A 21,452-nucleotide genomic window follows, 5' to 3' on the forward strand; every position below is an offset into this window, starting at 1 on the left:
GTGGATAATTTACATGATAAATGAAAATGGCCAATTCTTTAAGAGGATAAGTACTAAATCTTTATAAAAATCTGCTGTATCTTGATGAAACCCCGTCTCTACTAAAAGTACAAAAAAATTAGCCGGGCGTGGTGGCGGGCGCCTGTAGTCCCAGTTACTGGGGAGGCTGAGGCAGGAGAATGGAGTGAACCCGGGGGGCGGAGGTTGCAGTGAGCCGAGATGGCGCCACAGCACTCCAGCCTGGGCGACAGAGTGAGACTCCGTCTCAAAAAAAAAAAAAAAAAAAAAACTACTGTATCTTGGACGAGACTATCCAAAAGGAGCAGACTATTTTAAACGGCGTTTGAACAACATTTTCCTTAAAAACAAAGACGTGAAGAATCCAGAGAAGATCAAAGAACTTACTGTACAGGGCGAATTTGTAATGAAAGAGCTAGAAGCCTTATATTTCTTTAGGAAATACAAAGCTATGAAACAACGCTGTTATTCAGATATCAACAAAAACTAGTTGATCCTTACTACTTTAATTTAGCTGACAACCAGTGCCAGCTGTTTCTGTACACCAGCTATTGTAAAATAATTCTAACTTAAAATGGGAAGATGTACATGTTGTGTAAAAAAATCCCTGAGCTGCCCTACTGAACTAAATAGGTTTCAACTTCTGTTCATACTGAGAGATTTATCAGCAACTTTATGCTCAGTTTTTATACAAAGATAGCAATTTAGCTATACTACCGATTATAAATTAATGAGCACCGAATTTTGAATGAAAATATAATACACTTAATCTTGTAACTTAATAGGACTTAGCCAATTATTTTTAGCTTATTTTTCCATTTTACTGACAAGAGAATGCCACATACTGAACATTTAATAGGCAAATTTTCTTTTCTTTTTTTTTTTTTTTAAGACAGTTACACTCTTGTTGCCCAGGCTGTAGTGCAATGGCACCATCTCGGCTCACTGCAACCACCACCTCCTACGTTGAAGTGATTCTCCTGCCTCAGCCTCCCAAAGTAGCTGGGATTACAGGCGCCCGCCACCACGCCCAGCTAATTTTTTTTGTATTTTTAGTTGAGACGGGGTTTCACCATTTTGGCCAGACTGGTCTTGAACTCCTGACCTCAGGTGATCCACTCGCCTCGGCCTCCCAAAGTGCTGGGATTACAGGCGTGAGCCACCGCGCCCAGCCACAAAATAATTTCTTACACACTTGTTTCTCTTAACTTTTGAAAGGAATCCCTTATTTTTTTCCCCAGTTTGGTACATTAACAGCACATATTCAAGGTTCACTACAAAACAAAGCAGTTCCTGGTAATGACTTAAATGTAGTTATAGAAATAATAATATGTATGGAGTCATTCCTGCTGAACTTGAAATAGCCTTCTGGTGACAGGCATTACATACATAACTATTCAATTATTTCCATTATTAATGTTGCTGCTGCTACCTTTGGGCCTGAAACCAAGTCACCTGTTGTGTATCAATTAGCTTCTTTGATAAAAGGAAATAAATAATGTCATTCTATTATTTTATCATAAAGACAAAAAATTTACATTCCCACTCATGGTGCACAAGTTTTCCCTTTTCTTTACACTCGCTCCAACACTTGTATCTGACATCTTTCTGATAATAGCCATTCTAACAGGTGTGAGGTGAGATCTCATTATGGTTTTAATTTGCATTTCCCTGATGATTAGTAATAATGAGCATTTTTTTCATATATCTGTTAGCCACTTGTATGTCTTCTTTTGAGAAATGTCTATTTGGTTTACTTGCCCATTTTTTGATTGGATTATTTATTTTCTTGTTATAGAGTTGTTTGAATTCCTTATATATTTTGGATATTAGCCCCTTATCAGATGTATGGTTTGCAAATATTTTCTCCCAATCTCTGGGTTGCATCTTTATTCATTGCTTCTTTGCTCTGCAGAAGCTTTTTAGTTTGATGCAATTCCATTTGTTTATTTTTGCTTTTGCTGCCTGTGCTTTTGGAGACACTTGGACAATGTCCAAGAAATAATTGCCCAGACCAATGTCATGGAATTTTCCCCCTTTGTTTTCTTTTAGTAGTTTTATAGTTTCAGGTCTTATATTTAAGTCTTTAATCTATTTTGAGGTGTTTTTTTGTATGATGTGAGATAAGGGTCCAACTTCACTCCTCTGCCTACGGATATCCAATTTTCCCAACATCACTTATGAAGAGACTGTCTTGTCTCCATTGTGTGTTCTTGTCACCTTTGTCAAATTTCAATTGATTGTAAGTGTGTGGGTTTATTTCTGGGATCTCTTTGCTGTTCTATCGGTCATTGTGTATTTGTCAGTACCATGTTTTGATTACTATAGCTTTGTAATAGATTTCAAGTGCCTCTAGCTTTCTTCTTTTGTCTCAAAATTGCTTTGACTATTCAGATTCTTTTGTGGTTCTATACAAATTTTAGGATTTTTTTATTTCCATGAAAAATAACATTGGAATGTTGATAGGGATTGCATTGAATCTGCAGATCATTTTGGTTAGTACGGACATATCATTCTTCCAATCCGTGAACACGGGATACCTTTCCATTTATTTGTGTCACTTACAATTTCTTTCACCAATGTTTTATAGTTTCCAGTAAGAAGGTCTTTCACCTCCTTGGTTAAATTTACTCCTAAGCATTTCATTTTTTGGTGCTATTGTGAATGAAATTGATTTCTTAAGTTCCTTAGCAGTTAGTTTGTTGTTAGTATAAAAAAATGCTACTGATTTTTGCGTGTTGATTTCGTACCCTGCAACTTCACTGAATTTGTTTATCGGTTCTAACAGGTTTTTTTTTTTTTGTAGAATCTTTAGGATTTTCTATATTTAAGATCATGTCATCAGCAAACAGAGACAATTTCACTTCTTTCAGGAGTGATCTTTAGGCTGAAACATAAAGGATGGGGAGAGAGAAGTGTATAAGCAAAGGCACTAAGGTAGGAAAAAGCAAGGCACATTTGAAGAACAGAGGGATGGCCAGCTCCATCAGGAAGTTAGAACAAGATTCTTGTAAGAGAATGTTTAGAAAAGCAGAGAGGGGTCAGATCATGAAGGGCCATGTTGAAATCAATTTTGATTTGAAGCCAATTGTGAAAGTAAGCCATTGGAGGGTTAGAGACAAGAGGGATATCTGGTCTACCTGGCCACTGTGTAGAAATAGACCTAGAGGATGTGTCTATGAAAGGAGCCAGACAGGTTAGAAGGCCGTTGTAGTCATTTTGGTCCACAGATGTGAAAGTGGGGAGCTGGATTATGTAATTTTCAAGGTCTTTTCCTCTTGAATCATTAGGACAGGACACAGGATATCGCTCCAATGCCAAACTTAATCTGATGGCAAGACAAGGTGCGGATGAGAGGGATTCTGGTGAAAGCCTAGGAAAAGACAGGAAGGCAGGGAAGACGGGCTGGGATAGAACCCAGTAGGCCCCGTGGGTACCCAGCCCCATGCTGCCCTAGCACTAACCACTAGAGGGCAGGAGTGACCAGACCAGACAGAAAAAGAGACTTTATAAGGCAAGTTTGCAAGCTTACTTCTTGGAGGCTGTGGCATGAAGAAAAACTTCACTGGGAAAGGTTAAATAAAGGATGAAAGACTTTCCATACTTGATGGTGAAGCCAGAACCAGAAGTAAGGTGAAAATCATAAGGATACGTTTTGCATCAAAGCAGGAGGAATGAGAGCTGCCCCACAGCGGCAACAGCTACTTTGAGAAGAGATGAGCCACTGATCAGCCTGGACAGGAGAGTGGACATGTCTGCTTGGGTGACTCATTGACACCCCAAACTTCTTTCCTTGCTCACCCTCAGATGAGTTTATGCACCTGGGTTCCCCACTTCCGGAACCCTGTGACCCATCCACTCACTGAGACCTGAACCTAAGTCTCACACTTTGCTCCTCCTTAACCCTGGTGAGTTTCAGCCACTCAATCTCCAAGTCCTGTCAACTCTGTCTCCACTAACATCTTCAGCATCATCCCCTCCTCTCCATCATTCCTACCATAGACTTGGTTCACGTGCTGCTAAAGCTCTCTCCCCTTGCCTATTACAACAGGCTCCTAATCAGCTCCCTCCCTCTAAGCTCAGTCATTCAGTCAACTTTCCACAGAGCAGAGAGAGCTTTCCAAACTACAACCCTAACCAGAGGAAGCCCCCTCGTGACTTTCCACATATCCCTAGGATAAAGGACACACTGTAACCCAGAAATACCTTAATCATTGCCATCTTCTTCAAGGTTTTCCTTGCTACTTTGGCCATGCAGGATGAAACTCTTCTAATGAGTCATGCTCTTCCAAAAGTCCATATCCTTTGTATATACTTTTCCCTCTGCCCGGAATACTGCATCTTATTCCCCTTTTCCTTCACTGCCTGGATACCTAGAGAGGCCATGAAACCTGTAACTGGGAGCACAGGTTTCAAAGGCAGACAGACTCTGGTTCCAATCCCAGCTCTGCCACTTACTCATGTAATATCTATGAGAGTTGGGGTGGCTTATTCAACCTCCGTGCCTCAGTTTCCTCATCTGTAAAACAGGAATAAAAAATAACGGCTACTTTACAAATTGATATGAACACTGAATGAGATAACTGATGTGACACAGTGCAAGGCCTGACATGTCAGGCACTACATGTACTAGCTCCTGCTGTTATTTATTTATTACAGTTGATTTTCTTGTTGTTGTTTGTTTTTGGTTTTGCTTTTGTTTTTGAGACTGGGTCTAGGCTGGAGTGCAGTGGCGCGATCTTGGCTCACTGCATCCTCCCGCCTCAGCCCCACAAGTAGCTGGGACTACAGGCACGTGCCACCACCCCCAGCTAATGTTTGTATTTTTTGTAGAGGAGGGGTTTCACCATGTTTCTCAGGCTGGTCTTCAACTCCTGAGTTCAAGTGCTTGGATTGTAGGCATGAGCCACCACGCCCAGCCCCATTGCTTATTCTTAGCAATCCACATGAAGCTACTGGGAAGATCAAATGAAAGAATGCACAGACGTGCTTTTGAAATAATGAATGATTATACAAATAATAGTAATGAAACATCGTTTTTAGTAGTGGTATCTTTACAATATCATCAGGATGCAGAATTGTTATTCCTGACTTCAACCATCCCTGAGAGTCATTAATGCTTAGAGACTCTGAACACAGAGGCCCCACAGTCACATAGAGGCCCCAAAGCATTTAACCAAACACCTTCAGATTTAATTCCTCCAGAGGAGAAGTATTCAGTTGAATAGTTAACCATGGAAACGTGTTTGTTCACATAGACCCAATCCTAGGAAAATGGAGAAAGTGGTGAGGTTTATTTCTGGATCCTGTACCTCTTTCAAAACCCATCTTCCTCACTTCTTCTTCTTCTCAATACCTCACCCCTAAGATCAGATCTCTTGGCAGGACCTTGTCATTGGAGCCTCTAATTCAGAGAAGCCTCAGGACATAGGAGATGGGGTATTTAAGAATAAGAGAGGGTGTCTGAAGAGGAGGACAGGCCAGATGCCCAGCCCAGAGTACCAGCACCTCAATACAATCACGCTATTAAAATGATTCTTCCAATGGTATAAGGTATAAGGCCTGAAAGCAATCTTTTTGCTCAGTCTTTAAGATTCACTGAGGTGACTCTATTGATGATACTTTGGGCACCATGACAAGCAAAAGGGGAGAAATTTCTTTTGCAAGATTGGGTCATACAAAAGGCCAACCTATACCACTTTGAAAACAAATCCTATATAAAAGGGACTCTTCAAGTGCAAGCCCCCTCCCAAACCCAGGCTAAGGACTACAATGGCCTCAGCACTCTGGTGCTGGACACAGGTAGACAGAGGCAGTAAGCTTGAAGGTTAAGTTCATGGATCCTGGGACCAGGTTGCTTGGGTTCCAATCCCAATTTTGCTATCTACCACCTACAAAGCCTCGAGAAAATTACTTAGCCTCTCTGTGCCTCAGTTTTCTTATCTGCAAAATGGGTATAATAGTACCTACCTCATAGAGTTCCTGCAACTTAACATATGCCAAGTATCTAAAACAGTGCTTGGCACATGGTAAACAATCTGTGTCAGCTGCTATTATTATTCCGATTTTTTTTTAGACAATGTGTTTCCCATTGCCAGAAAGTCTGACAGTGTGGTTAGTTTGGAAGGCAACACGGCAGGTGCAGTATTTACATGAGAATGAGCTTTGGCATGGATCTGACTTTGAGCCCCACCTCTGCCTCTTGCAGCTCAGTGACATCTAAGTCACGGGTTCTTCATCTGCAAAGTGGGGATACCAATACCCTGCCCTTCCTACTTCACAGGTCTTTGAGCAGACCAAAATCAAGTGCACTAAAGTGCTTTTCCAAATGTTTATTTTTTAAGTTAACATAGAATAAAATAGACTTTGGGGGTGTATAGTTCTATGAGTTTTAGCACATTCAGGGAACCACCACTACCAAGATATGGAAGAGTTCCATCACCCCCCATACAATTGCTTTTTAATCTTGATGACGTAGTGTTTCACAGCCTAACACCTGGCTCTCCTACAATGGTACATTAGATAAGAAATATTCAAGGCCTGGCACATTTCTTAGATAACAAAGAAAGAAGATGAATTCCAGTGATTGAACTTCCTGTGCATTAGTTGCCTTTGCACTGTCTGTTCCTTCATCTGGAACTCTCTGTCTACAGACACATGCGTGGCCCACCCACCTCTCCCTCAGGTCCTGCTGAAATGTCACATTCTCAGTGAAGCCTCCCCTCTGACTGCCACTGTCTGGTACTTTGGATCCTACTTGTTCTTTTTTTCCATAGCATGCACCATCTTCTATAAACTATATACTGTAACTTATTTTTTTTTTTTTTTTGCTTATTCTTCATTTTCTGTTCCCTTTCATAGAATGTAAGCTCCCCAGGGAGAGAGACCATCGTCTGACTTGTCCACTGATGTACTCTAAGCACCTAGAAACAGTGCCTAGCACATAGTAGAGGTTCAATATATATTTGTTAAGTAAACCTGTTTAAAACAACAAGGATGAAGTTAAACTATCTTCACTTGTTGTTTGGGAAGATTAAATCTGTGATTATACAAAAGAAAGCAGCTGTCACAGTGCCTGACACATAAACCTAAGTTGAACGAAAATTGGAATAATGCAAAGGACTGACTGATTCTCCCTGTCCCCCATGTAAACACAACACGGCTTATAAATTCTCCACTCGATGAGGGCTAAAACAATTTTTTTCCTTCCCTATTAGGAATCAGTATTTAGGTAATTAATCCTGAAATGCTAAAATCCCCTCTGCACAAGCAGAAAATTTTAAAATTCATGGAGACAACATAACCTGGGCTTTAGCAATGTATTAATGAGCATAGGCAGTGAAGTCTAGGGACAGGCTGAGAACTCCGTAGACTGTGTCACTCCAGCTGCAAAGCTAAAAGATGCTTAACTTCCTGAAGAGCAGGTCCAACATGCACCTGCTGAGGAAGCAGCTCCATCCTGCTCCTTTCTCACACACAGACCTGCTGGCCCTTTTGACCCCAAAGCTCTTTTCCAGCCACATCAACAGGAAAACATGCACTGTCTTTGATGAGTTCAAATCCACCCACACAGGCCTTGATCTCCTGTGGGTAGCATCATTGTTCTCGTGAGTGGGACACCGTGGGTCCCCAGACAAGAAGAATTTGGGCTTTGGAAACAGGATTTGTAGGTGAGTGAGCACAAACAACTCCCTCCTCTGGTTGGAGAACACCCCAGGGTGTCAGGAAATTTTGTGGGAGAGGGTCTCCTCGAAGTCAAGAGAGGAGACGAGATTCTTCCATTTATTTGCAACCACTCCCACAAACTGAAATATATTCAAATACAGAAATGCCAAAACAAGGTCCCAAAAAATTTTCATGTAAATGAACACTTACCTTTAGCAAATTAAAGCATTTAACTTCCTAAGATTATAAGGTAACAATAACTGAATTTTCCAAAAAATATTCACAGGATTTATTTACGAACAGAATTTATAGAGCCCTACAGGCAGCACTAGCCAGGACTGGGGCCCAAGCTTTGAATTATCTAATAATCATGCTGGATTGCCTCTAGCTTATCAGGACCCTCATCTGAAGGTCATGTCAAAAATCTAAGTGGCCAGGCATGGTGGTTCATGCCTGTAATCCCACCATTTTGAGAGGCCAAGGCAGGAGGATTGCTTGAGTCCAGGAGTTTGAGACCAGCTTGGGAAACGCAGGGAGACCCTGCCTGATACGGTTTGGCTCCGTGTCCCGACCCAAATCTTACTTGAACTGTGAAAATCCCCATGTGTCATGGGAGGGACCCAGTGGGAGGTAACTGAATCATGGGGGCAGGTCTTTCCCATGCTGTTCTTGTGGTAGTGAATAAGTCTCATGAGACATGATGGTTTTATAAAAGGGGAGTTCCCTTGCACACACTTTCTTGCCTGCTGCTATGAAAGACATGCCTTTGCTCTTCCTTGACCTTCCACCACGATTGTGAGGCCTCCCCAGCCATGTGGAACTGGAAGTTCATTAAACCCCTTTCCTTTATAAATTACACAGTTTCAAGTATATCTTTATTGGCAGCATGAGAATGGACTAATACACAGTCTCCACAAAAAAATCAAAAACTTTGCCATGGGTGGTGACACATGCCTGTGGTCGCAGCAACTCAGGAGGCTGAGGTGGGAGGATTGCTTGAGCCTGGGAGGTTGAGGCTGCAGTGAGTCATGATTGTGTCTCTGCACAATCTGCATGATTCTAAACACTCTGGGTCACAGTGCGACGCTGTCTCAAACAAACAGAATCCAAATGGAAGCCCTTGATAAGGTGAGGTCTGGAGCTCAAGTGTCACCTGGGCCCCTCTGTGATTGTTGCTCCAGATGAACCCTTCAAAATAAATTTCAATGATTTTTAGCAATACTCACCTACTCTAAAATCAATCATATATGTATTCTAGTCTATCTCACAATATTATTTCTGGACTTTTTGGTTCCAAACTGAAGCTGGAGAGGTGTCCACCTTGGTGATCATCTAGAACGCTGGCCTCTCTGGGCTAGATCCTCTCCTGAGTGTGGACACTCAGGATACCATACGTTCCCTGAGCAAGGAAGGCACTCTCTCAATGACAGCTCTTTCCACGGGCAGCAATGTCTGCCGGGCACAGCCTCCTTCTCTTTTGTGGCATGACTAGGTCTTGTTGTTTCTCAGAACTCAACTCTGTATCAATCATTCAGAATGGCTTTCCTGACCACCCACCAGCACCCTCCAGACTGGGTATGGTGGAGTGCAATTCCAGTGTTCTTAGAGGCCACTCTTGAGCTTCTTTCCATCACAGACCTATGGCTTTTTTAATGTAAGCATCAAACTCTAATATGCGCCCATATCATCTGGGGAACTTTCTCACCAATACAAATTCCCAGGCTTCCTCTCCAGAGGCTCTGATTCCACAAGCTGGAAAAGTAGTAGCCTGGAATCTGCATGTGATCAAGCTCTCTAAATGACCCAAATGATTCACTGCAGCTGGTCTTGATCTCCAAAATGGGACACTTGTCCCCTAGGGATTTCCAAGATGGTACATTGGAGTACAGGGAAAAATGGTTAGCACTTTCATTCCAATCTTTGATCTCACCCTTAAATTTCTTTTTGGCATGTACATTTTATGGACACAATATATTAGTAAAGTATTGTCAATCTTAAAAGACACTAGAGAAAAGTCTCTCTAGCTATGTTGGGTTTGTCCTGGAATACAATAAAGATTATAATCCGGAATGCATGAAATGACAAGCCACCAGTGCACTCAATGAGGGAAGGATAAAGGGGAGCTTTTATAGCAATGAGAGATTTACATAAGCTGCTTAGAAAGACAGTTCATTGGTTCCAGAGGCTGTTGTTAGTTCGTTGGGGGAGATGCCGTTACTGGGCAAGTGTTCTTCCGAGAACATCTTATCTGAATTACTGCAGTCCTAAAGAATGTCGAGTGATTTATCAAAGCAGGAGATGCGTGAAGGACGTGAAAGTGATTTTAGAAAGTCCTTGAAAACAGTTCTCATCTCAGACAGGTAAGTATGAGTCTCCTCTCCTTTCTGGCCCCATTTTGTCTGAGTCTGACAAAAATTATTTTGGTGGGCACAGTGGCTCATGCCTGTAATCCCAACACTTTGGGAGGCTGAGGTGGGTGGATCACTAGGTCAGGAGTTCAAGACCAGCCTGGCTAGCATGGTGAAACCTGGTCTCTACTGCCAGGCATGGTGGCTCACGCCTGTAATCCCAGCACTTTGGGAGGCCGAGACGGGTGGTCATGAGGTCAGGAGTTCGAGACCAGCCTGGCCAATATGGTAAAACCCCGTCTCTACTAAAAATACAAAAATTAGCCAGGCATGGTGGTGCATGCCTGTAGTCCCAGCTACTTGGGAGGCTGAGGCAGAAGAATCGCTTGAACCCAGGAGGTGGAGGTTGCGCCACTGCACTCCAGGGTGACAGTGCAAGACTCCGTCTCAAAAAAAAAAAAAAAAAAAAAGAAAGCTGGTCTCTACTAAAAATACAAAAATTAGCTGGGCATGGTGGCAGGTGCCTGTAATCCCAGCTACTCAGGAGGCTGAGGCAGGAGAATCGCTTGAACCTGGGATGCCGAGGCTGCAGTGAGCTGAGATCGCACCACTGGGTGACAACCTGGGTGACAGAGCAACACTCCGTCTGGAAAAAAAAAAAAAAAAGATTTCATCCTGGTATCTGCAACTTTCTCAGTATTCATGATTTATAAATAAATATGCTTATGTTGGGGAGGGCAATTTACAGTTTGAATTATTAGCCACAATTCTTCATCAGCCCCCAAGGTCTACAGTTTGCCAAGTGAGTTTTCAGTTCTCCCAGTAGAAGCTGAGTGACTCTCCTGCCCACTGACTTTGGGTAGTCATGTGACTGCACCAGGCCCCATCATGTGACCAGTTTTGATTAATCAGGGGAGCCTTGATAGTGACCAGTTTTGAACCATGAGCCAAAGAGACGTCCCATGTTTCTACTTGCCCTCTTGCACCTCTGTCACTGCCATGAGAAAAGCATGTCCTGGCTGTCCCACGAATCCAAGGAGCAAGTGAGAGGAGACCTGGACTCAAGCTGCACCTTAGAGCCAACTAGATGGCTGCATCTTAGAGCCCAGCCAAGAAGAGTGAACTCCTAGCCAACCTGAAGGCACATGAGCAAAACAAATCCCTTTCATTCATGCCATTGGGGGTCTGTGTTGTTTATTACAGTAACTCTTGATAGTGAACATTGGTTCAGATCTCAGGCTTGCTGACGGTGTATCTGTATTTCAGCTTTGAACCCATAGCCCCTTGTAGGCCCTTAGTTAATAACAGAATAAATGGAGGTTTTCTCCATTTTCTGGGAAAATTCTGATTGATACTCTCTGTGGCCCTGTCTGAAAGGGTTGATGATCAACTCACTTTTCCAAAACCAGCCACCAGGACTAAGGCTCCTGGAGTGCTCCAGATCACCTTTTTTGCCAGTCAGACTCAGAGCTTGATGTCCAATGGTACCCTGGGCTGTTGCATTATCTTCAGGTCAAAATACTACACCCTATTACCTGAAAAATACAGTATCTGACTGAACCAAGGGCTGACCTTAGCCTGGGTTCCTCATTTTCCTTTGACCAGTTGGGCTCTCTATGAAGCCAGTTCCCAGTAATCCGGTGAGTCCCAGTGTCTAGGCTCTGCCTTGAATCTCACTCCTTGACTGGTCCTGTTGCCCCTGGGAGGACCAACTCCCCAACTCCTAGTTCCCAGAGCTATGGCTGCCATGCCCATCGACCTGGTTGGGAACCCACACCCTAGCCATTTCCAGAATCAGAGCTGAAAATGCTCCCTCAATCCCTGACAAAGAAAACCCAGAAAGCATTGGTATCCTGATGTTGTTGAGAAAACGTGGCGACTGTATACTGCACAAACTCCATCTTTTCTGTTTTTATCCCATTAGAAAAGGGCACTTCACCAGAGGCTCGTTCTTGGGAACTCCGTCTTTCTTCCCTTCTTTATTTTCTTTCCTTCTTCCCTCCTGCCTCCCTTCTTTATTTTCCTCCTTCTTGGTTCTGTATCTTCCATTTCTCCATTAAATCAGAGCTGCTTTTTCAGGAACTAAATTTGAATCTGAAACAGACTTGAGAGTTGATGTGATTTCTTACTCAATATAGAACTTCCCTCTATAGTGTTTCCAATGTCAAATTCATTGCTGTCATTTACTGAGGACCTATAAAGTGCAAAACACTCTGATATATATCTATCTACATATATATATATGACGTATATATTCTAATTCAGGTATTAACTAGAATCTGTCATGTAGGTATTATCATTTCCTTTAAACAAACAAAATGAAAACTTCAGGCCGGGCACGGTGACTCACGCCTGTAATCCCAGCACTTTGGGAGTCAGAAGCAGGCAGATCGCCTGAGGTCAAGAGTTTGAGACCAGCCTGGCCAACATGGTGAAACCCCATCTCTGCTAAAAATACAAAAATTAGCCGGGCATGGTGGCTCACGTCTGTAATTGCAGCTACTCCAGAGGCTGAGGCATGAGAATCACTTGAACCCAGGAGGTAGAGTTTGCAGTGAGCCGAGATTACACCACTGCACTCCAGCCTGGGCGACAGAGTGAGACTCTGAAAAAAGAAAGAAAGAGAGAAAGAAGGAAAGACAGACAGACAGACAGAGAGAGAGAGAGAAAGAAAAGAAAGAAAAAGAAAGAAAAGAAAGAAAGAGAAAGAAAGAAAGAGAGAGAGAGAAAGAAAACTTCACAGGGGTTAAGTTCCTCATCCAAGATCAAATAGTAGGTCAGTGGCAAAAGCAGAGCTCACTTCACACATTGTTGTGCCGAAAATTCTCAACTAGAATCTTCAGAGGATCCAGTTCAACAACTTCATTTCATCAGTGAAGAGACAAAGAGCTGAGCAAAGAGAGGTGAGTTTTATTGAACGTTGGTTCATTTCATCCTCATAACAACCTTATGAGTTGTACAAATACAAACGCTTATCAACACTCTTTGCATCTAACAGACGTGAAGGCTGAGGCACAGGGAGATGAAGTGCCTTCCCCAAGGCTGTGTGTCTAGTTCAGTGGTGGAGCTGGGATTCAAACCCAGGCAGTCTAGGTCCTGGGTCCAGTTTTAATTACAGAATGTTGCCTTCCCGGGACACATACCAGATCAGAAGCAGACAAGGACAGAGCAGAGAGGAATCCCAGCCCGTGGTTTCCACAGCCTGCCCTTTCCCCTCCAGCACACTGGCTCCAGTCTCATCATCAGTGAGGAGCACAAGTGGAAATCCAATTCCACATAAGTGGAGGGAGCAGAGAGTGGGACAGCCTCAGGATTTCCCTGGATTTATCACAGCTCCTTCCTCCTCAGCGCCTAGCCCCGAAGCCATCTGTGGGGAATGCTAATGCGCACCAGCTTCAGAGAAGGCCGTGCTGCTGGCCTTTCATGTGACTTAGGGGAAGGCTGAGGATGCAGCTGCCCGCACAGCCAGCAAAGCATTTGAATTGCTGCTGCCCTGCAAAAGGCAGATCATCTTTCCAGGGCAACCACGGCCCAGATTTATAGCCTGTAATTTCCAGTCTCCAGGCTGGATGATCCATGACGCTTGCTGGGCAGAGGAAGGGATTAAGCAGCAAGGAGGGGCTGGCACAGCCCACTAGGAAGTATAATAAGAACCATGATGGTGGTGGTGGTGGTGGTGGTGGTGGTGGTGGTGGTGGTGGTGGTGATGGTGGTGGTGGTGGTGGTGGTGGGGTTGCTACCATTAACTGAGCCTCTTTTAAGAATCAGGCACTGTGGCCAGCACGGTGGCTCACGCCTGTAATCCCAGCACTTTGGGAGGCCAAGGCGGGTGGATCACGAGGTCAGGAGATCGAGACCATCCTGGCTAAGACAGTGAAACCCCGTCTCTACTAAAAATACAAAAAACTAGCCGGGCGTGGTGGCGGGCGCCTGTAGTCCCAGCTACTCGGGAGGCTGAGGCAGGAGAATGGTGTAAACCCGGGAGGCAGAGCTTGCAGTGAGCCAAGATCCCGCCACAGCACTACAGCCTGGGTGACAGAGCGAGACTCTGTCTCAAAAAAAAAAAAGAATCAGGCACTGCTCAGACAGTCCCTAGATGATCCCCAACTCTCACGACAACCCTGGCCAGGAAGTCAGGAAGTGCTATCACCTCATTTTACTGATGAGGACACTGAGGTCCAAAGATGACTTTTTTTTTTTTTTTTTAAGAGACGGGGTCTCACTTTGTTGCCCCGGCTGGAGTGCAGTGGTACAATCTTAGCTCACTCTAACCTCAAACTCCTTGGCTTAAGCAATCCTCCTGCCTTAGCCTACCAAGTAGTCAAGACTACAAGTACAGGCCACCACCTCCAACTTTTTTAATGTTTATTTTTATTTTTGTAGAGACAAGGCCTTGCTATGTTGCCCAGGCTGGTCTGGAACTCCTGGCCTCAAGAAATCCTCCCACCTCAACCTCCCAAAGCGCTGGGATTACAGGTGTGAGCCACCATGCCCAACCCTAAAAATGATAAATAACTTACTTATGGTCACTCAACTTGTATACAATAATTACAGCTCTGTCAGGCACTGCTCTGACCCTGAACTCATGCCATCCTCCCTCCAGCCTTAGGAGGTAGGTGTGCTGGTATTACTCTCCCTTACAGATGTGGACATTGAAGCCCAAAATGACACAACTAGTAAGTGTCAGAGCTGTCATTCAAACCCAGGCTCTCTGGCTCTGGTGGTCACAGTCCTAACCACTAAGCAGCACTTTCCCTCCATGGTATTAGGATTACAACCCAGCTCTGACTGAGTCCAGGCCCTACGGATTTTCCATTACATCATCGAGCCTTGGGTCCCCAGGGGCCTGGAATCTGTCTTCTTGGGCTTCAAACTTAGCTCGGTTATACAGAGGCACTTATAGCTCCATTCCCCACGCCCTGACCCTCACACAGCAGGTTCACGTCTCTGTTCCCTCTCTTGGCATGCCCTTCCCTACGTTTTCCTACTTTCTTCAGTTGGCTGTTTTTGACTCATCCTCACTCAGCTCATCACCTCCTCTAGGAAGGCTTCCCTGACGTGAGGTGGTCTGTGTTCCTGAAGTTCCCTGTGCAAACCCATCACTGTGGGTTTGGGGGAAAGGTACCAAGTCTGGCTTTGGACTCTGAGTTGGAGGCAGTTGGAGGCAGCAGCAGGCAGGGCCAGGCACCCCGTCAATGAGAGATGCCTGCGCTGCCAAGATCTGGGAACCAGACCTGACTCCACAAGCCGCTCCTTTCTGCTGGAGAAGAAAACACACGGTGCCAAATAAGTGCCCTCCTTCCTAGAGACAAAGGGGACCTTCTGGATGCCTTGCTTAGGGCTGTGATATGCATGAAGTACAAAGGAAGGCACCGAAATGAGGGGAAAACACCAGTCATCTGAAACACCTGGAGGAAGCTATTGACAGGGGAGGGAGAGCCAGATACATAGAGACAGAGAAGAGAGAGAGGCTGAGACAGACACAGAGAGACAGATATAGAGAGACTGTGACAGAGACACAGAGAGATAAGGCAGAGAGATACAAAGAGACCCACAGAGAAACGGAAAAAATATATAGAGACTGAGAGATAGAGACAGAGAGAGAGAGAGACAGAGAGAGATAGATAAAAATAAACACAGAGAGACAGAGAAACTTATATAGAGACTGATAGAGACAGAGAGAGAGAGAGATACAGAGAGAGACAGAGAGATCAACACAAAGAGACCCACAGAGAAACAGATACACAGAGACTGAGATAGAGACAGAGACAGAGAAACAGAGAGAGAGGTAGAGACAGATAGACAGAAACAGACCCCCAGAGAGAGAGAAACAGATACAGAGAGACAGAGAGATAGTGACGGAGATAGAGAGACAGAGATACATAGAGACAAATAGACACAGAGAGATAGAGACAGAGAGTGATAGAGACAGACAAAGATATATAGAGATACAGAGACAGAAAGACAGATATACATAGACAGACACAGAGAGATAGAGACAAACAGAGACATAGAGAAACAGATAGAGACATAGAGAGCCAGGCACAGAGAACAGGCCCTGCTGAGCACCAGCTGTGGATGTGGCAGCACTCAGTCTTACCACCTTCAGTTGCCCACGGCCCCCTGCCTAAGGCAGGGCAGATGGCCAGCTGGGCAGTGCTTCTGGTGGCTGAGTGCTGCCCTACTGAGTAATTGGGTGAGTTCCCTCTGGAAAGCAGAGAAAGCAAAGTGAATAGGTGTCTGAAACTCATCACATCCAAGACAGAACTCCTGGGGTCCTGCCACCTCCACTGCAAACTGCTCCTCTCCCACCCTCCTTATCTCAGGAAATGACCCCACTAGGTGTTCAAACTAAAAATGTAGGAGTCTTCTAGGATTCCTCCCTTCCTCTCACCTCCCAGACCCCGACCACCACCAACCCTTATCTTTAAAACAGCCCCGGAATCCATCTCCTTTCAACTCCCTGGTTATCACTGGGAGCCAAGCCACCGACATCTCCCCACTGGACAAAGGCAGCTCTCCTTTGGTTTCCTGCCTCCCCACGGGTTCTCCCTGTTTACTCTTCACAGGCAGCTGCCCCCTTCTAATCCTTCTGTGTCCCCCTGTCCTTTGGGTAATTCAAGCTTCCTTCACAGCCTGAGGGCCCTCTTCCCCTTCTCATTTTCCACATCCGAGCTGTCCTTTCTCTTCTCAAATAAGCCAACCCCATTCCCCCAGCACCCCTGTCCCCCATGCCCTTCTCAGGTCTGTAAACCAAAATTAAAATCCTAAGCCCCCAAGCAACTGGCTGCATCCTTTCTTGGCCAAGAGGACCCCAGAGAAACCTGAAAAACTGAATTCCTGGCTGTGATGGGAAGGGAGGCCAGACATGTCCCATTCCACGCCCTCCCTTTTGGAGTTTAGGCACAATGGACCAACATTAATGTTGAAAAAGAGATCATTGGCCAGGCATGGAGGATCACGCCTGTCATCCCGGCACTTTAAGAGGCTCGAGGCAGATGGATCACCTGAGGTCAGGAGTTCGAGACCAGCCTGGCCAACATGGTGAAACCCCATCTCTACTAAAAATACAAAAATTAGCAGGGCGTGGTGGCGGGCGCCTGTAGTCCCAGCTACTCAGAAGGCTAAGGCACGAGAACTGCTTGAACTTGAGAGGCAGTGGTTGCAGTGACCTGAGTCTGTGCCACTGTACTCTAACCTGGGTGACAGAGCAAGGCTCTGTCTTTAAAAAAAAAAAAAAATGCTGGGCATGGTGGCTCACACCTGTAATCCCAGCACTTAGGGAGGCTGAAGCAGGTGGATCACATGAGGTCAGGTGTTCGAGACCAGCCTGGCCAACATGGCGAAACTCTGTCTCTACTAAAAATACAAAAATTAGCTGGGCCTGGTGGTGGGCACCTGTAATAGCTACTTGGGAGGCTGAGGCAGGAGAATTGCTTGAACCTGAGAGACGAAGGTTGCAATAAGCTGAGATCGTGCCACTGCACTCCAGCCTGGGTGACAGAGCAAGACTCCATCTCAAAAAAAAAAAAAGTTAAAAAGATCATTAGACTAACAAAATTTTAGTCTTTGTGACAATAAGGTACCAAATTATAAACAAGACCTGAGGCCACACAAGGCAAACATTAAGTCATGCCCTACAAACCATAAAATCCTGTTAAATTTTTTTTTTTAATTCATCCCATATAAGGTAGCTTACTTTCCAACCTGACTCTGGTGTCTTTACTGAAGCATTCCTTTAAGCCTTTAGACAAAGCTGGACTCTTTCAACCAACTGCCAACTAAAGAATCTCTAAAACCCATCTATGATTTGTAAGCACCCCAACACCACCCGCCCCAGCTTCAAGATGTACTGCTTTTTTGTGCCGAACCAATGTATACCTTCCATGTGTTGATTTATGATTTTACTTATATTTCCTGTTTCCATGAAATGTATGAAACCAAACTGTAACCTGATGGCCTCAGGCACACGTTCTCAGGGCCTCTCGACTGCTCTCTAGGCCTAGGTCACCCATGTGTGCTCAGAATAAACTTTTTTTTTTTTTGAGATGGAGTTTCGCTCTTGTTGCTGAGGCCGGAGAGCAATGGTGTGACCTCAGCTCACTGCAACCTCGGCCTCCCAAGTAGCTGGGACTACAGGCACCCACCACCACGCCCAGCTAATTTTTTGTATTTTTAGTAGAGACGGGGTTTCACCATGTTGGCCGGCTTTCACCATGTTGGCCAGGCTGATCTCGAACTCCTGACTTCAGGTGATCCACCCACCTCAGCCTCCCAAAGTGCTGGGATTACAGGCATGAGCCACCAGGCCCAGCCCAGAATAAACTTCTTTAAAATATGTTGTAGAGCTTGGTTTTCTTGCTCACAGGCCTTTGCACCGGCTGTTCCCCTGCCTGGAATGTTCTTTCCTTGCTCCCTCCTTGTCATTTTGGTCCCACCCCAATGTCACCTCATCAGAGTTCTGTTGTAACCCCCAGCACCTCTCACCCTTAACTACGCACTTCTTCCATTATCCCACGGTATTTTCTGTTTAGCCAGAGGGCTTTATTTCCTGTCAGACTCCCCCATGGAATGGCCTGGGACCCTTCTCACTCAGCCCCCTAGTCTCACTGCCTCACCCAGGGCCTGCACACAGAACTCACAAGGGGCCAATGTCTTGGGGGACTCTGGGTGTCCAGGAGGTCATGGGCTCTGGGCTGGTAGAAACAGTTTCTGGGAGAGAGATTCCTGTGGAATAATAGCACTGCGCACTGTGGCACTCCTACTCCAGCCTCTGCAACTCTGATTAGCCAACGGGGAGACTAGGTGCAGACGAGGGAACAGACTTGTCCAGGGTCACTCAGCCAAGCAGACGCAAGGCCAAAGCCACAACACAGGTCTCCAAGGTACAATGATCACAATTAAAAACCATCACAATTAGCCAGGCACGGTGGTTCACGCCTATAATCCCAGCACTTTGGGAGGCTGAGGCGGGTGGATCACCTGAGGTTGGGAGTTCAACATCAGCCTGGCCAACACAATGAAACCCCCATCTCTACTAGAAGTACAAAAATTAGCCCGGTGTGATGGTGCACACCTGTAATCCCAGCTACTCGGGAGGCTGAGGCAAGAGAATCACTTGAACCCAGGAGGCGGAGGTTGCAGTGAGTCGAGATTGTGCCACTGCTCTCCAACCTAGGTGACAGAGCAAGACTCTGTGTTAAAAAAAAACACACACACACAATTAAAAGACAAGTTCTCAGGATATCTGTATGTACTACTTGCTTTCTTTCTTTCTTTCAAGACAGAGTCTTGCTCTGTTGTCTAGGCTGGAGTGCAGTGGCACGATCTTGACTCACTGCAACCTCCGCCTCCTGGGTTCAAGCAATTCTCCTACCTCAGCCTCCCGAGTAGGTGGGATTACAGGTGCCCATCGCCACACCCCCAGCTAATTTTTATATTTTAGTAGAGACGGGGTTTCACGATGTTGGCCAGGTTGGTCTTAAACTCCTGACCTTGTGATCTGCCCACCTCGGCCTCCCAAAGTGCTGGGATTACAGGGGTGAGCCACCACGCTCGGCCAGTATGTACTACTTTCTAGTGACTCACTTCACCCTCTCTCCAGACGGGGAGCATTTTTCTCCTAAATAACTAAATAATAAGAACAACCATCATGTGGCTGTTTACTCAAGCACTGAGCGAATTACAAGCACCATATCATCATTCCTCACACAACCCCGTAAAGCAAAAACTATTTTTAACCCCATTTTACGCATGAGGAAACCGAAGCTCAGGGGGCTTCAGCAACTTGCAGAACATCATGCACCAGGGAAGAGGCAAATCTTGCCTTTGGATCTGTCTAGTCTATCTCGAGATGCAGCCCTTCAACCACTATGATATCCTGGTCTGCTGCCCGGCCCTTGTGTCTCCTCTCCTGGTGCCAAGATCAATAGGGTTCTCTTTGATACCTGATGCCTTCTGGGCAGGACTCTGTGGCAGCCACTGCAGTGCCCTTCACCTTGGGAGCCCAATCTGGTCACTGGCTCAGAAAATTCCATAAACAGCAGGCTCAGTGGCAAGTATGGGGACACGTTCCCCATTTGTAGGCTAGCAACAGGCAGCTTTACTGCTGAAGGAAAGGAGTGGGGTGGGCATATTGTCACTAAAGGAAGCTGGGCGGTCACCAGCACTGGCTTTCTATGCGACAGTAACAATGATAATGATGACGATGATAGTAATAATAATAATAATAGCAGCTATTCATTTAACATTTCCTAAGTGCTAGGTACTATTTTAAACTTTGTTCATATATTAAACCAATTAATCCTAACAGTTGTAGGTGGAAAGAAAAATTAAAAATCTCGGGACCCCCCCCCCCCCCGCCACCAAACTTCTTATGCAAAAGGGACAGTTAAGCCCAGAAGCTGAGTCATTGCAACACCCTCTTCCAAATGAATAGCTGTTACATTATGCATCAGCCAGGTCCCCGTGGAAAGGTGGAAGGCCTCAGGCATCTGCAAAGGACTGCCCCCAAAGATCATTCAAAAGTGACCTTGGCTGCCCTCCCATAAACAAGGACGTGCCAAATGTAACTTTAGGTCTACGATCTAAATCAAGGTCTTTATTTTTATTTGAGACACGGTCTTGCCCTGTCACCCAGGCTGGAGTGCAGTAGCACGATCACAGCTGACTGCAGACTCATACTCCTGGAGTCAAGTGATCCTCCCACATCAGCATCCTGAGTAGCTAGAACTATAGGCACGTACCACAAGGCCCAGATAATTTTTCATTTTTTATTGTGGAGACAGGGGTCTTGATATGTTGCCTAAGCTGGTCTCAAACTCCTGGCCTCAAGTGATCCTCCTGCCTTCTGTCTACCAAAGTGTTGGGATTACAGGCATGAGCCACAGCACCAGCCTAAGTCTAGCTCTGATTCTACATTATAATAAGCTAATAACGTTGACTATAAGCTTATCTTCCCAGGTCCAGGACAAAGTCAAGACTCATTCTCCAACCACCCAGAGACATCCATAACTGACTCTTCCTTTACTCCTTTTTTCTCTTCATCATTCACCTTATCTTATGTAAAATGGAGATTTACCGGGCACTAAGGAAAGTCTCACAAGAGTATAAGCATTTGCCTTACCGCCTACCTGCCCCTCTTCCTACATGCCTTCCTCCTCTTTAAGAAAATGTATAAAGACTAAATTTCCTGAAAACCTCCTCGGAAAAGCAGCCTCAGATGTGTCTGTGGCTTATGTTTTTCCCAGACGTGCCCTGAAGCTGCCTTCATAAACCTCGATGATTGAGACTTATGCTTCAGTCACTCATTTCAGTTGTCATAGGGGACCAGAATACGCTATCCCAAAATATACCACTTTGGCATAAGGATTATTTTGAGCTGAAGGCAGTTGAGAAGAAGCAGATATAAGAAAAGCTCTC

General features: G+C 45.1%; 1 protein-coding gene and 1 pseudogene across 15 annotated transcripts in view; one reads left to right on the plus strand and one right to left on the minus strand.

The window, feature by feature from the left end:
• The window catches only part of SYN3 (synapsin III), a 550,562-nt gene that overhangs the window by 507,134 nt on the left and 21,976 nt on the right, over positions 1–21,452 (minus strand). The gene's annotated exons all lie outside the window — the stretch shown is intronic.
• Positions 27–508, plus strand: ETFRF1P1 (ETFRF1 pseudogene 1; annotated as a pseudogene).

Source organism: Homo sapiens, chromosome 22 (genome assembly GCF_000001405.40).
Source record: "Homo sapiens chromosome 22, GRCh38.p14 Primary Assembly".
Classification (NCBI taxonomy): Eukaryota; Metazoa; Chordata; class Mammalia; order Primates; family Hominidae; genus Homo; species Homo sapiens.